Below are 23,355 nucleotides of genomic sequence, written 5' to 3'. Positions count from 1 at the left end.
ACTACAGAATAATGTAAACATAACTTTTTATATGCACTGGGAAACCAAAAAATTGTGTGCCTAGCTTTACTGTGATATTCACTGTTGCAATGGTCTGGAACCAAAGCTGCATTATCTCTGAGATATGCCTGTCATTTTGAATTAGAAAGAAGCTTCCCAATCAATGTTCTGAATGTGAGCATTGTCTGTATCTTAGATTTTTTACAAGTTGGAAAACCAAGTTAGAGGCTGGGAGAGGCATGTGTGTATTTTGCATATTGGGGAGGGAAGGAAGAGGGGCTAGGAAAAGGAAGTGTGTTAAGTCCTATGACTGAAATCCAGCTATGTGTGATGCCAATCCAAATGGATCTTGGACCAGAGAGGGCAGAATAGGAGGAGGGAGGTCCTACAAGACTGTGATGGCTTCTTTCTCCTTGGGGAGGCTTCCTGAACATTGTTAGGGGATTCATTTCATGCACAGTATAAGTCTCCAGGCCTGATGATTCATCATAAATTTTTCTGGGCCTGTTTTAAGTCCTTGAAGATAATAGAAATCTGCATCTCTGAGGTGTGACCATGCAATGGAATACTACACAGCAATAAAAAGGAATTATGGATACATTCTACAACATAGATGAATCTCAAAATAATTATGCTAGGTGAAAGATACCTGAAAAAATACATTATGATTCAATTAATATGAAATCGTAGAAAAGGCAAACTAATATAGAATGACAGAAGATCACCAGTTGCCTGGGGATAAGGGAAAAGGAAGGGTGAGAAAGTTGTATGCCAAAATTGATCAAATTGTATACTTGATGTGTCATTTATTGTATACCTATTATACTTCAATACAACCGTGAAAGAGAAGGCAAAAAGAATAAAAATTAACCTCTTTTTATCAACTCCAACTCAATTTAAGGGATTTCCTAGGTGAGCAGGTGGCCAGACCTCCATCTATTTGGGGAACTAAAACATAATCAGAAATACAAGAAAAATGTATTAACCAAAACTCTTCTCCAGGAAGATAGGTGGTTGAGAAGCCAGTTTAGCGGAAGTAAGATTCCCAAGAGGCATGTTCCAATAGTAACAGAGGCCCACTAAAAAGGGCGGGTGTGATCATCTGCAGGGTTTTTAAAATTTCCGAGTAGGAGATGCAACTTTGGAATTAGAGTTGAGTTTCTTGGGATGCTGGAGAAGAGGCTGCTTGCTTCTACCAGTGCTCTTCATTCTCTATTCTTCCCTCAAGGAACACTTAGCTTTTGCCCCCAATATGCTGAGAACAAATACTTAGAGAAGATTGGTTTGAAGGTGTGCCAATTTATCATTAGTCTGCTTGGCCCCAGTCCCAAGCCCAGTGTTGAAAGGGGTAGAGCCAGCTGTACTTCTAGGGGCAATTCTCTCCCTGCCACCCAGAAGGAATTTGGCAATCCAGTTTCTGAAAGGAAAGAGTGTTTTGAAATCATTTTTGTAGCAAAAGCATGTATAATACTTGGAGAATAATTGTAATTCACAAGGTTGGGACGAAAGGAACACAGATGGTGAAGTCTGGGAAACCTGACTCACAGTTTTTCAGAGAGTAGAAGAGGGGGAAAAGGTAAAAAGAGGGAAGTCAACCTACCAGAAACAGGGCCACTGCAGTGCCCAGGATGAAACCAGCAATCACGTCCGAGCAGTGGTTCCGATACTCAGAGACCCGGTTGAGGCCTGTCAGGAAGGCTGTGCAGAGAGTTCCGAGGCACAGCACCGGCTTGGCCAGTCGACTGCTCTTCGTCTTGATTGTGCTTGTAATATACATCTGGAATAGGACAGAGGCCAGGGAGTGACCAGGCAGCTGCCTTGTGCTATGAGTACACATGCAAGCAAGCAGGTACATACACCAGCATACACAAGCAGGGGCTTGTGTCAAAGCAACCACACTAACTAGTATTCCTTGAACAACTCCATTAAGATATTTAATAAATTATTTAGGTAGGAAATCAGTGCAGCAAGAACAATGAACAGATGTACATTCTTCAGTCTTTTGTAATCTAGTGGACATGTCAACAGAAGTTATTAGTGACACAAAGAACGCATTAACGATTAGATTCAGAACATGCAGTTTTTATGTGACAAGTTTAAATATCATTTGGGGTATAAGAAATCCATATGAGAGTCTGAGATACCAAATAAACCTTCTATGGGAATGAAGCTTTTGGTGGAGAAGACCAGGTAGGAGAGTGACTGTAAGTGACCGTACATTTTATTTTTTGTGTCCCCAAAAGTTCCTAGTTGCTTTGTCACACCTTCAGGTGATTAATACCAACAAAGTGTTGACTGATGAGTTAGTTGATAGGCTGAATTAGAACCTCCCAACAACTGCATCACATAAATAGGTTTCAGCTGTGCTAGTAAATTGACTCATACATTCCTCAGGACAGCTGTGATCAGCTTTATTCATTCATTTACTCCACTGTTTCTTAAAATATTAAAATTTTCTGTGTGTTCCACAAGATACAAAAGGTCAAGAAGACCTGAGCTAAGTAAAAGATGATACACGTTATGACACCTGAGATGTAGGCGGCTGTTATTAGTTTGTTGTGAGGTGCTGGGTAAGACTCTGACGTTTTACAGGTTCAGTTAGCAAATGTGTCCCTGGTGGTTTAGAGTTAGGAAGCCATGCCTTTTTCATGTAAGTACACTTTTTTAGCTAACCTTTGGTAGTAGTTACAAAACACCACTAGAGGGCACCATTGGTCTATCATTTCTTAACAAATGTGCTATGTGAGCTTAGCAATTCTAAAAAATAATATGCTGATACTTATATAGTATGTGTATATGGCCTGAGCACATATAAGTTAAAATAGACGCATTTTACAGTATTACAATAGAAATTCTTAATATTCTAGAATGATACCTCAACACTGGTGAGAATACCAGAAGATAGGAATCTCTTCTATATAACAGATTCCCTATAAAACTGGTTACATCACAGTTACATAAATTACAGCATATTATTACACTATTTTCAGACTCTGGTAAATGTTACTTAAAACCTATGCTGCATATATTCAGTTGTTCATGCTATTATGTTTTCCAATTATATCTGTCATAAATCTTTCCTATAAGAAAGATTAAAAACTATTAAAAGCATGAGCCTATGGTTAGTTGGTATTCTTCATAGTATTAACCAGTACTTAGGAAATCCTTGTTGAGTAATTTCTGAAAGCATTTGACATGTAATAGCGGCTCAGAAGATTTATGCAATTGGAATCTTATATCAGGGTTTATCTGACTATAGTCTGTGAGGCATGATTTGAATTGGATAACATCTGAATCCTTGAGAACATGTTATAGTCACATTTATTCTGTGTGAGCTGATGATATTTACTTCTTTCTTGCCCAAAGAACTTCGTATCTCATTTGTTGAGACAGTAGTTTATTATAAGTAACAGAATAATTTTTATAATGGTACTATAAAAATTAATTTCACACAGCAATGACTTGAGTCTGATAAAAAATACAGGAAAAGGCACAAGAATACATTGTTTAGGTTCTAGATAATTAGGAAAAATCAACATTCTGAAAATTTGAAAATATGTTGGATACTTCAGAGGGCTTTATTTGTTTAAAAAAAATACCTGCATAGAGGTTTTTTGGTTTGGTTTTGTTTTTGATAAAGCAAAGACATTTAACTGAGCTATAATCTGTTTTGTAAATTGAGGCTTCTGTGTTATTTGCATCCTTGTTTCTTTAATGTGGGGACAGCTGAAGTCCTTTTTTTCACATACTCATGTCACATAGTTGGTGGTTGACAAAATAACCCTATCGATGTGATCCTGTAAATGGGACACAAAGGCACTATCTGCTCCTGGTTGTTTTAAATAAATAGATCAGACCCATAGTCACAAAGAATGACTGTGTATTAATTATTAGATTCAGAACATGCAGTTTTTATGTGACAAATTAAAGAATCATTTGGGGTATAAGAAACCCATATGAGTTTTTGCCTTTTTTCCACCCTAGGGGTGAAGGCACAGACCCGTTTTCTTCCCGCAGAGGCAGAACATGCCTCCTGCAATTACACTCAGTGACAGGAAGGGTAGCATCTCCCTGGGGGGTGGGTTGAGGGCATACTCAGATGTTTGGGAAGAATGGACAGTTTGAAAGGAGGCTTCCTTCTGTCTTTTCCATTCCCACACTTTCCATTGAGAATTACCAGACTAGTCATATTCTGAATATAAAATAAGTTGAAGTAAGGAAAGGGGGTGTTTTGGGCCAACAGTTGCTCTGCCACTGGTAAATGCACCTGATGTCCACCAGCAATATCGTATCAGCCCGTGGAGCCTTTGAGCTGATCTCTGCATGTCTATATTCTGGGTCCTAAGAATGCATAAGCCAGACAAGAGTGAAATGAAGTTATTTCCAAAATGAATACAGTTAAAAAGTTGGAAAATAAGAGAGACACCATTGTTCTTTAAGATGTGGGACATACTTTGGTTTTTCTGTTACTAGAACAAAAAGAAAACCAGAGAAAATTATACCCCAGTGGGGCAGTCAATGGCTGTGCGATCTGGGGGACAATGAGAAACATACTCTGGGGTGTTGAGGTTTTTCTAGGATCATCCCTGTCTCCTAGCAAAGTCATGGAGAAAAGTGCCAGAGCAAAGGAAAGCTGTGTATCCTGGGTCTGCATGTTGTTGGAGCAGTCATTCATATAAGGCCCATGCTTGCAAATTTCTAGGCAGGTGTGAGAAGGTGTGCTGTTCCGAAACCAACGAAAACCTTGACAAAGAGTACTGTTGTGGGAGGTAAGAAAATCTCAGACACAGTACCAGGAGTCTGGGTCCCTGCTCTGGTTGTATGATCTTAGCTATACTGTGGGACCCTGCTTTCACATCTGTAAATGGGAGGATGTAATTAGGTGATTATCAAAACATTCCAGAACTAATATCCTCTGGCAGATCAGGAGATTGAAAGTGGGGTAGAAGTGTGTGTGTGGGGGGGCTAGTATATCAATAGCATAATGTAGAGAAATATGCCATACATAAATTTAAGAGTCGCTATAAGTGACAATGAAAGAATGGAGACAGGGCAGGGAGACACACATCCTATCAAAAACTGGACTTAGGAGAGACAAGACTTGCACACTCACCGTGGCATATAAGGCGGAGTAAATGCTCAGAGCAGCGTGTTTGGAGGGAAAGGATCTCCGAGCCTTTTCTATCACTTCCAGGTCCCCAGTACAAATGTTCCCATTGTTTATAAACTGGTGGTGCGCTTGGCAGTCTGCACTGGTGTAGTTTGGCTTGCACACAGTCAGGAAGTATGGCGTTAAGTGCCCAGTGACCACTTGTCCGGCGTTTACAAAAATGTCAGTAGCAAAAAGTCCAAATGCAAACACCCCTATAAGAAGATTTAAAATCATTAGGAATGGTAACATACTCTGTCAATTGCATTTTTCTCCTAAGAGAAAACAGCGGTGAGAGTCCATGATGACCTATCAAAATGATTCTAAGTACTCCCCGGAGTATCTTTCCAGGAGTGGTACCTGCTTCCCAAATCACCATTTCTTCCAAATTGATGTAGACATTCTACTGTTAGGACTTTATGGTTTTGTATCGGTAGTTTAGAAAAAGCACAGTCTAACGAAAATAATTTGAATTTTGGAGTCATATAGACACATCAGTGGTGACTCATTCAGAGTATAAGTTATTTATCTTTCTTGAATCTTGGTTACCTTTGCTGCAAAATGGAGTAGGGGGTAGTTTGGGGAAAAGAGAATAATCTACGTGCAAAATACTTGCTATGGTGTCTACGTAATTAATCAACATCAGTTCTCTCTCCTTCTATACGAAATACCTTCTCCCTGATTCTACTTGGAAATGTAAATCATCTTGGGAGGAGTTATTTACAACATGGCAGGTGAGAGTAAAGGAGGATCTTATGGAATTGTCTTTTAAAAAAATTATTCTAGAAACTTTGCTTGAATTGGAGTTTCATTTGATGTTGGAAACAGAAAATGAGAATAAAGGAAAAGTGTTAAAAACAAATGTTGTTGACCAATAGCCTCCTATTGCTGCTATAACAAATTACCACAAACCGAGGGGCTTACAACACAAATGTATCCCCTTCAGACTTCTGTATTCTGGAATTCAGAAGCCTACAATAGGTTCCACTAAGCTAAACTCAAAGCATTGGCAGGGCTGTGTTCCTTCTAAGTGCTCAGGGTATAATCCACATCTTTCCTTTTCCATGTGTTCTAGAAGTTGCCTTCATTCCTTATCTTATGGCCTCTTTCCAGCACTTCACATCATTCCAACTTCTGCCTTCACTGTTGTATCTCCTCTGACTCTGAGCCTCCTGCCTGTCTCTTATAAGGACCCTTGTGATTATATCTGGATAATCCAGGATAGTCTCCCTATCACAACTTCAACCACACCTGCATTCCCTTTTGCCATGTAAGGTAACATTCAGTTTCCAGGGACATGATCATCCTTTGGTGGGGAAGGGTGCATTATTCTGGTTTTGCTGTTGGTCTGAAAACCCTGTGAGTAGGCTATACTTCCTGGATTTTATTTGTTCTCTGGTAAATTCCAGAGGATTAGCCCCAACAAGCTTGAACATGCAGAGGTTTCCTTACAGAAAGCTTTGCTGTGAGTTATTTCAAGGCCTGTATATTACATCTATGCACTGAGAAAGGCTGTGTAGAGCTATAAGTGGGTTGAAGAGATGAAGATGTATTATATGCAATTGAAGGTAGAAGTTGACAAGTGCGAGAGGCAGCATTAACCCTTGTAAATGTCAAGAGTCTGCTATAGTTTCAACTAAATGTCTACCCAATTTTGACTCCCGTATTCAGTGTTCTGAATCTGCAAATTGTGCTGACTTCAGCACCCAAAAATTAATCCATTATAGCAGAAGTGAAGACTAGTTTGGCTGAAACCTTCGTCTGGTTTTCATTTGTATCTGTGCTGATTGCCATCATCTTTCTTTTTGTGGCCTTGCCAGAATGTGCTTTATCATAATGAGAACTAGCTCTTAAGCTTCTGCTGGCTCATACTCATTGGGTCTGACCTCTGAGAGCAGGCATTCATTGATCATCCGAGGCAGTTTTCACCCCCAGGTACTGGAAGTCTGAATGGTTGGAGATTTTCTACATCTTCCAGCAAGATTTTCAAAGACCAGGTTGCTGGGTCTTTCAAGGGGCAATAAGTCTGTCCAGACATAACTTTTCCAGGAAACTAGGGTGATTTACGATCTGAAAAAGGAAAAGTGGCAGGATCTCCCTTTGGCATTTTGTCAGAAGTGTTTCCAATTAGGGCAGGTTTTATTCTTTCTTTGGCAGAGGATTTCTAGGTTCCTTGGGTCAGTGCCAGCTCTGTGGTCACAGCGATTGTATGGTGGCCAGCTCTCCACACCATTGTCCTGTATGCCAAGGCTGAAAGTAGCTTCTCTTCTTCTCTCTGCCTTCTGTGGATTGTGTCTGTTTCTTCTGCTGGCTTCAGGAGCATCCGCTGTCCAACCACTTCATTCTGGTGCATTTGATCCAGCTTCAGGAAGTACCGCATCAGCCTGGGAAGCCCACCTGCCCCATGCAGGCCACACCAACAAAGCGCGGTGGAACCTGCACTGGTAACTCACAGACCATGTCAGATCATACAGGGCTTTTCCAAAGGAACTCAAGCCATCTCTCTCTTACTTCACCCTACGCTCCTTGTGTGTATTTTTACAAGCCTCAGAAGCTAAAAACAGCTACTTTTGCCCTTAGAGTCAGATGAAACACCATTTGGTCTCCAGTATTGCAAGGTATGATTTGAAGATGTTTTAAAAATGTCTCTGTATCTTGGCTTGGAGTCTAAAATTCTTCAGGTGAGATCATATTTTTTAATAGATATTTTTCATTTCTGTAACCCCACACCCCTCAGATGGTTCTATTTATCTTAAGGCTCTGCTCCATCTGTGTTGTTTCTTACTTCAGAGAAGCCAAAGCCAATTATGTTTCTGAATGGATTTTCCAATTTACAACAGACACAAAAGTCCAGAAGTAAAGCACTTTTTATTTGCCAGAGCTATGTCCTTGTTGTGATTGCTGTGGCTGTGTTCAGAATTCTGAATATGCTTGGTTTGGAAGATCAAGAGCTACAACCTGGAGGGCGAGACAGTCTTACAAAGTTTCTGAAATCAGCTGCAGAGCAGGTGAGGAAGCAGATGTGGGTGTCACAGGAGGAGCTGAAGCCCTGCCTGTTCTGATTACAGAAGTAAAGAGGTACTTACAGGCTCCCCGCCTCAGGCTGGTGTCAAGCCTCAGGGGCTGGGAAATACAAATCTCCAGAAGGGTTTTTTGTAAATGTGGACAAAGGGCATCGTGTTCCTGCTGGGGTGTAGATTGGGAACCCCACAAACATCTTAGAGAAGTTTCACATCCAGCTTGGCACCACAGCATAGGGTAACTGCATTAGCAATGGCCAAGGAAGGGTCAAATTAGTTGAGAAGAGGCTTGGAAGGACAAAAAAAATTGGTGTCTGCTGGTGATGGCCATGATCAGGTCCCAGTAACATGGATTGTCTAAGGAAACCTGAGCTCTTTGTGACCTAAAAGAACATAACTGATGCACACTGGGCTAAACAAAGGATAAAGAAAGAGGATGATGAAGGTGTTAAAGTCTCTCACTTTTTTCTCAGGGTTTTACCTGGACCCCATCTGATCTCAGATAGGATGTCTTTGGACAAGTTAGGATCTTTGATCCCTAGTAGTTTAGGACATGGAGTGAAATTCTGTGACCCTATTCCTGCTATGGACTCAGCACAGGACTCCAGCACTTGACTCCACCAAGAATGTAGTAGAAACAGTGACAGAACCAGGAAACGTGCATGAAGGAGATCTTCAAAGCCACCAGTAATTGGTCTACTGACAAACAATAACAGGCCTCATTCCAGGATCCCTTCAGAACTGGGAAAAGTACAGAACCAGACTGCTCAGTGCTGTCCACACAGCAGACCTTCATTAGGAAGCCTAGATGCATGCAACAGAGTAACAATTAGCAGAGGTTGGTGGGGTGAGCAAAGGAAGGACCATGTTCCTTTTAGGCCCGGAAAGTCTGAGACCTTGGGTAGAGCCTCAAAACTGAAGGCCAAATGTTGCATACTAAATTATAAATGTGTAATTCTCCAGTCAAAAAGGCACTTTGCTGACAGCCTCTGATGGATCATCTCTCATTGTCCACTAAAATCATACATGACGACAGTGAAAAAAGATGGAAAGTTGGCCAAATGACACCAAACTGAAGGGAGGATGAGTGAGAGGGGTCCACTGTTGATAACCTTCATATGGAGTATGTTTAATCTCTCTCTTTTTCTCACACACATACACACACTTGCGCATGCACACATGCACGCACACACACACACACTTTTACCTCATGGAAAACTCAAGCTTCTCCTCAGAAGACAGAGACTACAGAGACGGCAGGAGAAAATCTAGGGAAAGGCTTTCTTTCTTTCATACTATCAGGCCCCTGACTCTGAGATCCAGGATTTAGACTCCCCAGAAAACAAGGCTTCTGTCTCCCCACTGGATGAGTTCGCTCTGAATTGGCTGAAGACTCTCCTCTCTTACCTTTTTTTTTCCTAAATGTATTTACAGAGAGACTCCTGGACAAGAACTCAACAGGAGGTGGCAGGGGCACAGGCATGGGCATTTCGCATTCCAAGAGGACTAGATCCACGTGTTCTGGAGAGCGTGGCTGCTGCTGGCTATAGCAGCTTTGTGCACGCTCTATAGAGTACCAATGAGCCACACAGTGAGGACAGCAGATGCTAGTTCCTTGGAGCTGAGGAGCTCTAGTAGGAAGCCTGCTAACTAGGGACTGGACTTGGGGCTGTGTACGTCTGCTTTCAAGCTGTAGCTCTGAAAAGTTGGCCAAGAGCAAGTCACACTTCTGCTGATGAATAGAGCATGCATAGGTCTTGCCCCATTTAAGAGTAAATAGGGAGAAATAATCACAGATCACATCGGATGTTGGAAAAATCTCCTATTTTAGACTAGTATGGTACCATTATTCTCATATTTCTTGTTTCAGTAGGAACTTTACACTTGCATAGATTATTCAATAATTTCCATCTGTCACATTAGAATTGTTGAATATGGAAGCTTTATTACAGCAAGGAACACATTTGTTTTTGCTCATCATTGTATTCCCAGCACCTAGCATCAAACTTGGCACATAGTAAACATTTAACAGATAATTGTGGGATCAATGAATGAATTGCTGAAGAAACTTTAGAGATTAACAGAAGAGGATAAAAGAGCATAGAAACTTGTCCATATTTTCTAATTCATGTTGGTGCTTTGCATCCCTGATTTCAGAGAACATAGTTGACAAAAAGCCATTTAGCATGTATGTTGCAGGGATCATATCTCCTTTTTATAAAATTCACAAAGTCGGGCATAGTGCTAGGCAACTAGAAAATAAGTGATCATTAAAAACTGGGACTTTATAAGTGTCTCATGAATTGGAAAACTGTAAATCATAATTCACAAATCAAAGCACTCTCTATTCTAATGCAGTGAGAATAAAAAAAACCTTAGAGTATGGAGATCTATGTCATACACAACAAATACTTTTTATTGGAGATGTTTGTGAAGCACAAGAAACTCAAGTCATGATGAACTTGGGAAGTATTGATGGGTAGTTTTATTGAAACATGCATATCTTAGAAATGTCCCTATTTCTGATTCTGAGAAATTACAATGGTTGTCAGTTTCAGTATTAACACGTGGGCACATAAAAACTTCTATACATTTTCATGTGGGGAAACTAACACATGGAACTTTAAAAAAGAAAAGAATAGTGAAAAAGACATAAAAACAATTTATCTGGATTAAATTGCCAACAGTACTCTGCATCTATGTTGAAAAGCTACTCTGTGGGCAGTTGCTTAGTCTGAACCGCAGCTTTTACCACCCCTCCCTACTTTCCTTAACATTCGTTCTCAATCTCTTATCAAAAATTGTTGGCCAGGCACAGTGGCTCATGCTGTAATCTCAGCACTTTGGGAGGCCGAGGCAGGCGGATCACCTGAGCTCAGGAGTTCAAGACCAGCCTGACCAATAGGGTGAAATCCTGTCTCTACTAAAAATGTAAAATTAGCCAGGTATGGTGATGCATGCCTGTAATCCCAGCTACTCAGGAGGCTGAGACAGGAGAATCACTTGAACCTGGGAGGCAGAGGTTGCAGTGAGCAGAGATTGTGCCATTGCACTCCAGCCTGGGCAACAAGAGTAAAACTCCTTCTCAAACAACAGCAACAAACCAAACCAAACAAAAAAACCTGTGGGCAGAGTGGCTTGTCCCCGTAATCCCAGCACTTTGGGAGGCAGAGGTGGGTGGATCACTTAAGGCCAGGAGTTTGAGACCAGCCTGGCCAGCATGATAAAACCCTGTCCTTACTAAAAATACAAAAATTAGCCGGTGGTGCTGGGTGCCTGTAATCCCAGCTACTCAGGAGGCTGAGGCAGGAGAATCGCTTGAACGTGGGAGGCGGAGGTTGCAGTGAGCTGAGATTGTGCCACTGCACTCCAGCCTGGGCAACAGAGCGAGACTCTGTCTCAAAAAACAAAAACAAAATAACAACAAAAATAAACTGTTAAAAAGAGGACTGTTCTTTTGTTTCTCTATGGTAAAACGATGTCGTGAAAGATAGTGAAAGTAGTAGCATGTTGTATGATATTGAGGATACTTGAACATTTTCTCGTTTTCAAAATCTAACCAGCTTTGTGCATCTCTTTGTGGTAGCTTTTCTACCGTGATGTCCACAAAATGAGAAAACGTGCCCTCCCATTAGCTTCTGGCCTCTGTTTTGGTAGAAAAAATGATAAAAAAATCTTATCCCACACAGAAAAGTACAAGCAAATGGCAGGGGTTTACCAGTGCCATTTCAACACTGTAAGAGGAATACCTAAGGAATTCTTAACACTGTTTCCCCAACCACATTCTGATTCAACCACCAACTTCCATTGGAAATGGAACACAAGATTAAAGAAACACATACAGTTTACTTTTGCTTTTTCTTTTCCACATCAGGATCCCCAGTAGAAAATCTCTATCTAATTCCATTTTTGCCAAGGTACCTCAATTCAACTATTGAAGACCATTCCTTCAGGAAACCACAGTTTCTTTAGGAAAAGTGGTAAAATGCTTTCTCATTAACATGCTTTATTCAAACTGGAAGTTTCCTATGAAGATAATTTATCTGAGGTTACCATGTTCATCCCATTTCCTTATAAAGGTGTACTGACCTGATGAGATGTTTAACTATGACTGCCATGGATACCAGGTAATAATAACAATAGCTAATATGCTGTGCTTAGTACATACAAAGTATTGTTCTAAGTGCTTTGCAATATTAGTTCACCTAATGCTCACCATGACTTTGAGGTAGACACTATTATCCCTACATTTTACAGGTGAGGAAATTGAGATCCAGAGAAGTCAATTAACTTGACCAAGGTCATACAGCTAGTGAGTAGAGGAGCTTGGGTTACAAACAGAATAGTAAGGCTCCAGAGGCTATATTCTTAATCATAATTGTCTAAGCTTATTTATTATTAACATACATATGGATAAGCATCAGACCATAAAGATATCTTAGCTTATGCTTGGGAGCACACACACATGCACACAGCACTGAGAAGAGGCAAGGACTTTATAACATGTCCCTCATGAAATGTATTTCACTTGCCACAACAGAATACGAATTCTTCAATTTTGTAGTCAATTTTCCAAAAAGAAGATGATTGAATATCTATGATATGTCATCATTTGAATAAGGCACTTTTCTCATCACTTTAGCAATGAATCTGACTTTTTTCTAGTATGACAAACACATTCGGTGCAATTGATCCATATGCCCTATATATTGTGCTTCAAAAATAAGTTTCTGGCAAAATTGAATACATCAGTTCCTTGGATAGTAAATTTTAGGTGTTTACAGAGCAATGCTGTAGTCTTTCTCCTATCGATACTGCACAAACACCAAAGGCTGACAATAGCCTGCTTGTCTTGATCAGATGGTTGAAATCATAAGAAAAGATTTTATTAAAGTCAATTAATCTGAACCTAGTCACTTTATCTGTTAAAATGAATTATAAGTATGCCTTGTATCACAGGGTGATTATTCAAATCATAAAAAACAGTTGTAAAAACACTTTGTCAATTGTGAGCCCTTTATTGATATTGCTCTTATAACTGAGAGAAGTAGATGTAACTAAGGGAAGTGGTTATAAATTGATTATAAAATTATTTTTTAAATGCAGGAAAGATATAAGAAACCTACAATTGTAACAACCTGAAACAAATATTTGACTCAGTTATTCATCCTTTGTATTAATAAAGCACCTTTTACAATGCGATAAGCTGGTGGTTTAGAAAAAAATACCCTGTATTTGTCATTGTAATTACTCATGATAAGTGAAGATGAAGGATAATTACTTAATAAAGATGATGAGTAATCAACTAGAAAGCCCACCAAATATTTTTATAAACAAAAGAACAAACAAATACATTTTTACTTCCTCAAAGCATAAAATTACTCTGCTTCTTAACAGGATTTTATCTCAAGAATGTCCTCTTTACTCCTTTGACAGGACAATTCCCCAGTGCTTTATCTCACAAATATGAGCCTTCTCTCTTGCCACCTAGCCTCTAAATATCTTCTCGGTCCCTCTAGGCGGTATAATGCCAAATGCTGCTTAATACAGAGGAAAACATAAAAGTTTGCCAGAGGCTATGGTAACTTTAAAGTGGAATGGAACCTGTGGATGCAAGTAAGTCTAGAAAATATGCCCTGGATACAAACTAAATGTGGAGAAAAAAATGTAGCTACCAAGAGATATCGAAATATAGGAATATTGAGGCCTGGATTTTTAGAAGGCTTCAAATTCGGCTTTTGTGATTCCATGTTTGTAAGTTTCTAAAGCTGAAGCTGATGATCTGAATCTACTCCCATTCCTACCACAAGATCAGCATCAAGCCCCCATGGGCAGCTCCCAGCCCTGTTGGTGATTTACAGATACTGAGATCTGGCACTGTTGCCCTCTGCTTGATGCATTTCCTAAACAATTTCATTATGTTCTAATGTAATAACTTAAATAGTTTCTGCTCACACCTATAATATCAACACTCTGGAAGGCTGAGGCTGGAGGATCCCTTAAGTTCGAGACCAACCTCGGCAACATAGGGAGACCCTGTCTCTGCAAATAATAATAATTTAAAATTAGCTGGGTGTGGTGGTGTGTGCCTGTGCTCCCGGCTACTCAGGAGACTGAGGTGGGAGGATTGCTTGAGCCTGGGAGGTCAAGGCTGCAGTGAGCTGTGGTCATGTTACTGCACTCCAGCCTGGGTGACAGAGTAAGACCCTGTCTCAGAAAATAAAAATAAGTAAGTTGCTTCCAAAACACACACTACTTTTTAAAAATTATTATAGAAAGCTTTGAAACTACACTTTACTAACTGTTGAGTCATCAGTTAGTGCCTAGTTTTGTTATATGAATATTTTTGTTATGCAAGATATTGTATAACTTCTTAAAAGTCTTTGAAATATACTTAAAAAAACCTTTACAAAAGTAGTTGTCAGCTGAGGGTGACCCTGCCCCAGGGAACTTTTGTAATGTTTGGAGACATTTTTGATTGTCACTACTAGAGGAGTGAGTGCTATTGGCATTTGTTGGATAGAGGCCAGGGGTACTACTAAACATTGTATTAATACAATGCACACAAGTCAGTATTCTACTTCTACACAAAAAAAGAATTATCTGGCAGAGAATGTCGAGAGTGCTGAGGGTAAGAAACACTGTTTTACAGCAATTAAGTTCACTGTAGTGTCATGAATTTGCATTGTCTAACCTGCAAAGTGCTACAGAAAGCAGTCTTCTGCTCAGTCCTTTATTGGAGTCCAGCCTCTCAACACTAGAGCTAAGGAGGACCCACAGAAAAGAATCACTAGTCTCATATGACTCAATAACTTTCCTCTTGATAATTAGGGTAATCTAGGGAGTTCTAGGGTAGGAGTCTTGGTCAGATCTGTAATATTCTGGCTCACCAAGGATGACAATCAAAGGGGAATAGATTCAGTCCCTGCACTGAGCAGAGGAACCAAAAGTAACCTCATCACAATTTCTTGAGACCCAAGCAAAGGTTGCTCCCTGGCTACGCCTTCTAGGCCAGTCATGGTACCAGCTTCAGCATCCTTCCTCCCCTGCATCCTTGAATCCCAGCCACAAGCCCAATCCTGATCCCTAGTAGGAAGCAGCAAACATCTTAGTCTCTAATCTAGTGCCTTGGCTGCTTAAGTGGTCCAGAAACAGGGGTTCCATTTTGTTCCCTGAAGATTCTTCCTGGCTCTTTCCTCTTAACCTGTGTACCTGAGCTTCAACTACGGTTCCTGTTGCTGAATTCTAGAAATTATCTCCATCTGCTTATAGGCCCATGTCCTGCCTTGCTCTTGACATTTTTCTTTTATGATCTAGACTCATGGCTCAGAAAGAAAGTTGGGTGCCTGGGCACTGTCACTTATCTTTAGACTACCTGGGTAGATTGAACTTCTCGGTCAGCACATGGAGCTGGCCTGGTTCCCTGGGCATCTGTTTCCCTGGGATCATCCCTGTCTTGATTGCTCTGTCCTGCTATGAATTCACTGCCAACTCAACAATTCTCATGGTATACAGCTTCTCCTCTCCATTTAAAATTACATATCTGCTGCCACAAACTCCCTATTTCCTTTCCCTATTTTTCTCTGTACTACTTATCTTCTAACATTATAATTTATTTTGTTTAGTGTCTGGCTTTTTCTATCAGACTATAAACTGAATGAGGGCACATTTCTATTTGGTTCACTCATAGATTCTAAACACCTTAATCTGTACCTAGCATCTAGTAGGTGCTCAATGACTATTTCATTGAAGGTTGAATGAACATGACCGGCCCCCCAGCTGTATTTTAACTATAAATACTGAATGCAAACAGAAATAGACTAATTGAATCAAATAAAGTCTTTTTCTGATAAAGTACATTTAAATGACTTTCAAAATCGAGGATTTTCTAGTTCTCAAAAAGGCTGACATTAAGCTCGTCCCAGGGTATCAATTCTTAAAACCATAAAACGCCATGACCTTTGAAACTGCATTTAAAATATTCATGCTTCACTTAGACCACACTTGATTTATGGAAATTAATTAGCGTTACATGAATTCGCTGTTTACCATGGCACTTTTTAGTCTGTCCAGTGCTACCTAATCCTCGGACCGGACCTAAATGGCAGAAGACTTGGCTGGTATTTAATTAAATTTTTATTAGAAGTAATAATGGATCAACTGTGTGACCCCAAATGAAAAGACTATAATGAAGAGCTCTGGATGACAAGCTATTTTAGTGCTAATAGTCTAATGTTTGCATATTTGGATCAGTTTTTTAATTAACTCAAAGCAACTATTCAGGAAGGGAAAGTTAATTTGGTTTTCCTTCTATATGGTAAACAAACCAAAAACCCTCATCAAATTCTAATGCTGTCTATTCATTACTTTTCAGTATTAAAAAGTTACTGTTTAATAATTTATATTTACAAAAATATTTACTCAAGTATATTTGTGAGCAGAACTGAACTGAACTTCACATTTTTTTTGGAAAATGTAACTTCCTTACTTAGTCATTGCCACTGAAAAAGAAAGGTGGGTGTTTAACTCTCTTGAGAACATAAATCTGTGTTGCTGTTACTACACAATGTAATGTAGTAGCAAAGGAAATGGTATAAAGTAAAAGAAATGAAGAGGGAAAAAATGAGAGAGAGGAGTCTTAATACATGTTACTAATTTGATTACATTTGTTTTTATAAAGTACAGGTAAAATTTGTTAGTTTAGCCAGTTCCTTTCCTCCCTTTGCACATTATATAAATATAACTTGAGAAACTATACAATGGTTTAGAAGTGGATAGAGAAGTTTAGCTATGATGTTTTATGCTTAAAGCCTGGGAGGACAGGCAGCTTTCTTATAATGAGAAGGTTGGGGGGAAAAATGTATTGTTGGATTTGTGAATCAAAGGAATTTAATACTCTCCGTCAAAGTCAACACCATTAGCATTTGCTAAAGGAGGAGATGGTTGAATTTGAATGTTTTCTCTTTGATGTCACTATTCTTGTCATTGTCTCATTTAAAACTTAATTTGGATCTGTGGGGTGAAGCAGAAGCCTATCCTTCAAATCCATGCCACACAGACGAGAGGAGACAAAAGAATTAGAGAAGCAAGTTGAAGTTTTTGCTCTTCTATCCACACTGAAGACTGTTAGAGAACTTGGCCATCGTTCTGGATAGCCTTTATTCTGCCCTCACTCTTTAAAAAAATTATCTTTAGTTCTTTTTCTGATTTCTAAAAGTAAACATATTCATGATAAAAAATTAAAATTATGGAACATTAGAAAGCCAAAAATTATTTGCCCAATTTGCCCATTATCCTACAATTCAGAAGTGACAACAGCTAATTTTTAGTGTGTTTCCCTTCAGTCTCTTTGCTATGGATAACACACAAATACACATATACACTTATATAATGTTGCATTCTTTTTATTTAAAAACAATTATGGATTCATAGTGTTTTTTTAAATTTTATTTTATTATTATTATACTTTAAGTTTTAGGGTACATGTGCACAATGTGCAGGTTAGTTACATATGTATACATGTGACATGCTGGTGTGCCGCACCCATTAACTCGTCATTTAGCATTAGGTATATCTCCTAATGCTATCCCTCCCCGCTCCACCCACCCCACAACAGTCCCCAGAGTGTGATGTTCCCCTTCCTGTGTCCATGTGTTCTCATTGTTCAATTCCCACCTATGAGTGAAAATATACGGTGTTTGGTTTTTTGTTCTTGCGACAGTTTACTGAGAATGATGATTTCCAATTTCATCCATGTCCCTACAAAGGACATGAACTCATTTTTTATGGCTGCATAGTATTCCATGGTGTATATGTGCCACATTTTCGTTATCCAGTGGATCACTGTTGGACATTTGTGTTGGTTCCAAGTCTTTGCTATTGTGAATAGTGCCGCAATAAACATACATGTGCATGTGTCTTTATAGCAGCATGATTTATAGTCCTTTGGGTATATACCCAGTAATGGGATGGCTGGATCAAATGGTATTTCTAGTACTAGATCCCTGAGGAATTGCCACACTGACTTCCACAATGGTTGAACTAGTTTACAGTCCCACCAACAGTGTAAAAGTGTTCCTATTTCTGCACATCCTCTCCAGCACCTGTTGTTTCCTGACTTTTTAATGATTGCCATTCTAACTGGTGTGAGATGGTATCTCATTGTGGTTTTGATTTGCATTTCTCTGATGGCCAGTGATGGTGAGCATTTTTTCATGTGTTTTTTGGCTGCATAAATGTCTTCTTTTGAGAAGTGTCTGTTCATGTCCTTCGCCTACTTTTTGATGGGGTTGTTTTTTTCTTGTAAATTTGTTTGAGTTCATTGTAGATTCTGGATATTAGCCCTTTGTCAGATGAGTAGGTTGTGAAAATTTTCTCCCATTTTATAGGTTGCCTGTTCACTCTGATGGTAGTTTCTTTTGCTGTGCAGAAGCTCTTTAGTTTAATTAGATCCCATTTGTCAATTTTGGCTTTTGTTGCCATTGCTTTTGGTGTTTTAGACATGAAGTCCTTGCCCATGCCTATGTCCTGAATGGTAATGCCTAGGTTTTCTTCTAGGGTTTTTATGGTTTTAGGTCTAACGTTTAAGTCTTTAATCCATCTTGAATTAATTTTCGTATAAGGTGTAAGGAAGGGATCCAGTTTCAGCTTTCTACATATGGCTAGCCAGTTTTCCCAGCACCATTTATTAAATAGGGATTCCTTTCCCCATTGCTTGTTTTTCTCAGGTTTGTCAAAGATCAGATAGTTGTAGATATGTGGCGTTATTTCTGAGGGCTCTGTTCTGTTCCATTGATCTATATCTCTGTTTTGGTACCAGTACCATGCTGTTTTGGTTACTGTAGCCTTGTAGTATAGTTTGAAGTCAGGTAGTGTGATGCCTCCAGCTTTGTTCTTTTGGCTTAGGATTGAATTGGTGATGTGGGCTCTTTTTTGGTTCCATATGAACTTTAAAGTAGTTTTTTCCAATTCTGTGAAGAAAGTCATTGGTAGCTTGATGGAGATGGCATTGAATCTATAAATTACCTTGGGCAGTATGGCCATTTTCACGATATTGATTCTTCCTACCCATGAGCATGGAATGTTCTTCCATTTGTTTGTATCCTCTTTTATTTCCTTGAGCAGCGGTTTGTAGTTCTCCTTGAAGAGGTCCTTCACGTCCCTTGTAAGTTGGATTCCTAGGTATTTTATTCTCTTTGAAGCAATTGTGAATGGGAGTTCACTCATGATTTGGCTCTCTGTTTGTCTGTTATTGGTGTATAAGAATGCTTGTGATTTTTGTACATTGATTTTGTATCCTGAGACTTTGCTGAAGTTGCTTATCAGCTTAAGGAGATTTTGGGCTGACACAATGGGGTTTTTGAGATATACAATCATGTCATCTGCAAACAGGGACAATTTGACTTCCTCTTTTCCTAATTGAATACCCTTTATTTCCTTCTCCTGCCTAATTGCCCTGGCCAGAACTTCCAACACTATGTCGAATAGGAGTAGTAGACAGGGAATCCCTGTCTTGTGCCAGTTTTCAAAGGGAATGCTTCCAGTTTTTGCCCATTCAGTATGATATTGGCTGTGGGTTTGTCATAGATAGCTCTTATTATTTTGAGATACGTCCCATCAATACCTAATTTATTGAGAGTTTTTAGCATGAAGGTTGTTGAATTTTGTCAAAGGCCTTTTCTGCATCTATTGAGATAATCATGTGGTTTTTGTCTTTGGTTCTGTTTATATGCTAGATTACATTTATTGATTTGTGTATACTGAACCAGCCTTGCATCCCAGGGATGAAGCCCACTTGATCATGGTGGATAAGCTTTTTGATGTGCTGCTGGATTCGGTTTGCCAGTATTTTATTGAGGATTTTTGCATCAATGTTCATCAAGGATATTGGTCTAAAATTCTCTTTTTTTGTTGTGTCTGTGCCAGGCTTTGGTATCAGGATGATGCTGGCCTCATAAAATGAGTTAGGGAGGATTCCCTCTTTTTCTATTGATTGGAATAGTTTCAGAAGGAATGATACCAGTTCCTCCTTGTACCTCTGGTAGAATTCGGCTGTGAATCCATCTGGTCCTGGACTCTTTTTGGTTGGTAAGCTATTGATTATTGCCACAATTTCAGAGCCTGTTATTGGTCTATTCAGAGATTCAACTTCTTCCTGGTTTAGTCTTGGGAGGGTGTATGTGTCGAGGAATTTATCCATTTCTTCTAGATTTTCTAGTTTATTTGCATAGAGGTGTTTGTAGTATTCTCTGATGATAGTTTGTATTTCTGTGGGATCGGTGGTGATATCCCCTTTATCATTTTTTATTGCATCTATTTGATTCTTCTCTTTTCTTCTTTATTAGTCTTGCTAGCGGTCTATCAATTTTGTTGATCCTTTCAAAAAATCAGCTCCTGGATTCATTAATTTTTTGAAGGGTTTTTTGTGTCTCTGTTTCCTTCAGTTCTGCTCTGATTTTAGTTATTTCTTGCCTTCTGCTAGCTTTTGAATGTGTTTGCTCTTGCTTTTCTAGTTCTTTTAATTGTGATGTTAGGGTGTCAATTTTGGATCTTTCCTGCTTTCTCTTGTGGGCATTTAGTGCTATAAATTTCCCTCTACACACTACTTTGAGTGTGTCCCAGAGATTCTGGTATGTTGTGTCTTTGTTCTCGTTGGTTTCAAAGAACATCTTTATTTCTGCCTTCATTTCGTTATGTACCCAGTAGTCATTCAGGAGCAGGTTGTTCAGTTTCCATGTAGTTGAGTGGTTTTTAGTGAGTTTCTTAATCCTGAGTTCTAGTTTGATTGCACTGTGGTCTGAGAGACAGTTTGTTATAATTTCTGATCTTTTACATTTGCTGAGGAGAGCTTTACTTCCAACTATGTGGTCAATTTTGGAATAGGTGTGGTGTGGGGCTGAAAAAAATGTATATTCTGTTGATTTGGGGTGGAGAGTTCTGTAGATGTCTATTAGGTCTGCTTGGTGCAGAGCTGAGTTCAATTCCTGGGTATCCTTGTTAACTTTCTGTCTCGTTGATCTGTCTAATGTTGACAGTGGGGTGTTAAAGTCTCCCATTATTATTGTGTGGGAGTCTAAGTCTCCTTGTAGGTCACTCAGGACTTGCTTTATGAATCTGGGTGGTCCTGTATTGGGTGCATATATATTTAGGATAGTTAGCTCTTCTTGTTGAATTGATCCCTTTACCATTATGTAATGGCCTTTTTTGTCTCTTTTGATCTTTGTTGGTTTACAGTCTGTTTTATCAGAGACTAGGATTGCAACCCCTGCCTTTTTTTGTTTTCCATTTGCTTGGTAGATCTTCCTCCATCCTTTTATTTTGAGCCTATGTGTGTCTCTGCACATGAGATGGGTTTCCTGAATACAGCACACTGATGGGTCTTGACTCTATCCAATTTGCCAGTCTGTGTCTTTTAATTGGAGCATTTAGTCCATTTACATTTAAAGTTAATATTGTTATGTGTGAATTTGATCCTGTCATTATGATGTTAGCTGGTTATTTTGCTCGTTAGTTGATGCAGTTTCTTCCTAGCCTCGATGGTCTTTACAATTTGGCATGATTTTGCAGTGGCTGGTACTGGTTGTTCCTTTCCATGTTTAGTGCTTCCTACAGGAGCTCTTTTAGAGCAGGCCTGGTGGTGACAAAATCTCTCAGCATTTGCTTGTCTGTAAAGGATTTTATTTCTCCTTCACTTATGAAGCTTAGTTTGGCTGGATATGAAATTCTGGGTTGAAAATTCTTTTCTTTAAGAATGTTGAATATTGGCCCCCCCCGCCCCGCCCAACTCTCTTCTGGCTTGCAGAGTTTCTGCCAAGAGATCCGCTGTTAGTCTGATGGGCTTCCCTTTGTGGGTTACCCGACCATTCTCTCTGGCTGCCCTTAACATTTTTTTCTTCATTTCAACTTTGGTGAATCTGACAATTATGTGTCTTGGAGTTGCTCTTCTCGAGGAGTATGTTTGTGGCATTCTCTGTATTTCCTGAATTTGAATGTTGGCCTGCCTTGCTAGATTGGGGAAGTTCTCCTGGATAATATCCTGCAGAGTGTTTTCCAACTTGGTTCCATTCTCCCCATCACTTTCAGGTACACCAATCAGAGGTAGATTTGGTCTTTTCACATAGTCCCATATTTCTTGGAGGCTTTGTTCATTTCTTTTTATTCTTTTTTCTCTAAATTTTCCTTCTCACTTCATTTCATTCATTTCATTTTCCATTGCTGATACCCTTTCTTCCAGTTGATTGCGTCGGCTCCTGAGGCTTCTGCATTCTTCACGTAGTTCTCGAGCCTTGGCTTGCAGCTCCATCAGCTCCTTTAAGCACTTCTCTGTATTGGTTATTCTAGTTATATATTCGTCTACATTTTTTTCAAAGTTTTCAACTTCTTTGCCTTTGATTTGAATTTCCTCCTGTAGCTCAGAGTAGTTTGATCGTCTGAAGCCTTCTTCTCTCAACTCGTCAAAGTCATTCTCCATCCAGCTTTGTTCTGTTGCTGGTGAGGAGCTGTGTTCCTTTGGAGGAGGAGAGGTGCTCTGCTTTTTAGAATTTCCAGTTTTTCTGTTCTGTTTTTTCCCCATCTTTGTCGTTTTATCTACCTTTGGTCTTTGATGATGGTGATGTACAGATGGGTTTTTGGTGTGGATGTCCTTTCTGTTTGTTAGTTTTCCTTCTAACAGACAGGACCCTCAGCTGCGGGTCTGTTGGAGTTTGCTAGAGGTCCACTCCAGACCCTGTTTGCCTGGGTACCAGCAGCAGTGGCTGCAGAACAGCGGATTTTCGTAAACTGCGAATGCTGCTGTCTGATCATTCCTCTGGAAGTTTTGTCTCAGAGGAGTACCCGGCCGTGTGAGGTGTCAGTCTGCCCCTACTGGCGGGTGCCTCCCAGTTAGGCTGCTCGGGGGTCAGGGGTCAGGGACCCACTTGAGGAGGCAGTCTGCCCATTCTCAGATCTCCAGCTGCGTGCTGGGAGAACCACTGCTCTTTTCAAAGCTGTCAGACAGGGACATTTAAGTCTGCAGAGGTTACCGCTGTCTTTTTGTTTGTCTGTGCCCTGCCCCCAGAGGTGGAGCCTACAGAGGCAGGCAGGCCTCTGTGAGCTGTGGTGGGCTCCACCCAGTTCGAGCTTCCCGGCTGCTTTGTTTACCTAAGCAAGCCTGGGCAATGGCGGGCGCCCCTCCCCCAGCCTTGCTGC

At 39.9% G+C, this 23,355-nt stretch overlaps 1 protein-coding gene across 2 annotated transcripts in view, besides 1 other annotated feature; it reads right to left on the bottom strand.

The window, feature by feature from the left end:
• PLPPR1 (phospholipid phosphatase related 1) overlaps positions 1 to 23,355 on the bottom strand; it is a 296,409-nt gene that overhangs the window by 10,561 nt on the left and 262,493 nt on the right. For both annotated transcript variants that reach the window (NM_207299.2, NM_017753.3), the window contains exons 5-6: positions 5,114 to 5,364; positions 1,601 to 1,777 (exon numbers count right to left, since the gene is read on the bottom strand). In NM_207299.2, the coding sequence (NP_997182.1) occupies positions 1,601 to 1,777; positions 5,114 to 5,364 (428 nt within the window). The remainder of the gene's footprint in view (positions 1 to 1,600; positions 1,778 to 5,113; positions 5,365 to 23,355) is intronic.
• Positions 7,094 to 7,388: a silencer, noted in NCBI's record as "tiled region #15176; K562 Repressive non-DNase unmatched - State 22:ReprW". NCBI's record gives its function as "represses a minimal TATA promoter and a strong SV40 promoter by Sharpr-MPRA in K562 cells {active_cell/tissue: K562}" and the evidence as "EXISTENCE:reporter gene assay evidence [ECO:0000049][PMID:27701403]".

Source organism: Homo sapiens, chromosome 9 (genome assembly GCF_000001405.40).
Source record: "Homo sapiens chromosome 9, GRCh38.p14 Primary Assembly".
Classification (NCBI taxonomy): domain Eukaryota; kingdom Metazoa; phylum Chordata; class Mammalia; order Primates; family Hominidae; genus Homo; species Homo sapiens.
Note: the sequence above shows the minus strand (reverse complement) of the source record. Positions and strands in the feature narration are given on the sequence as shown.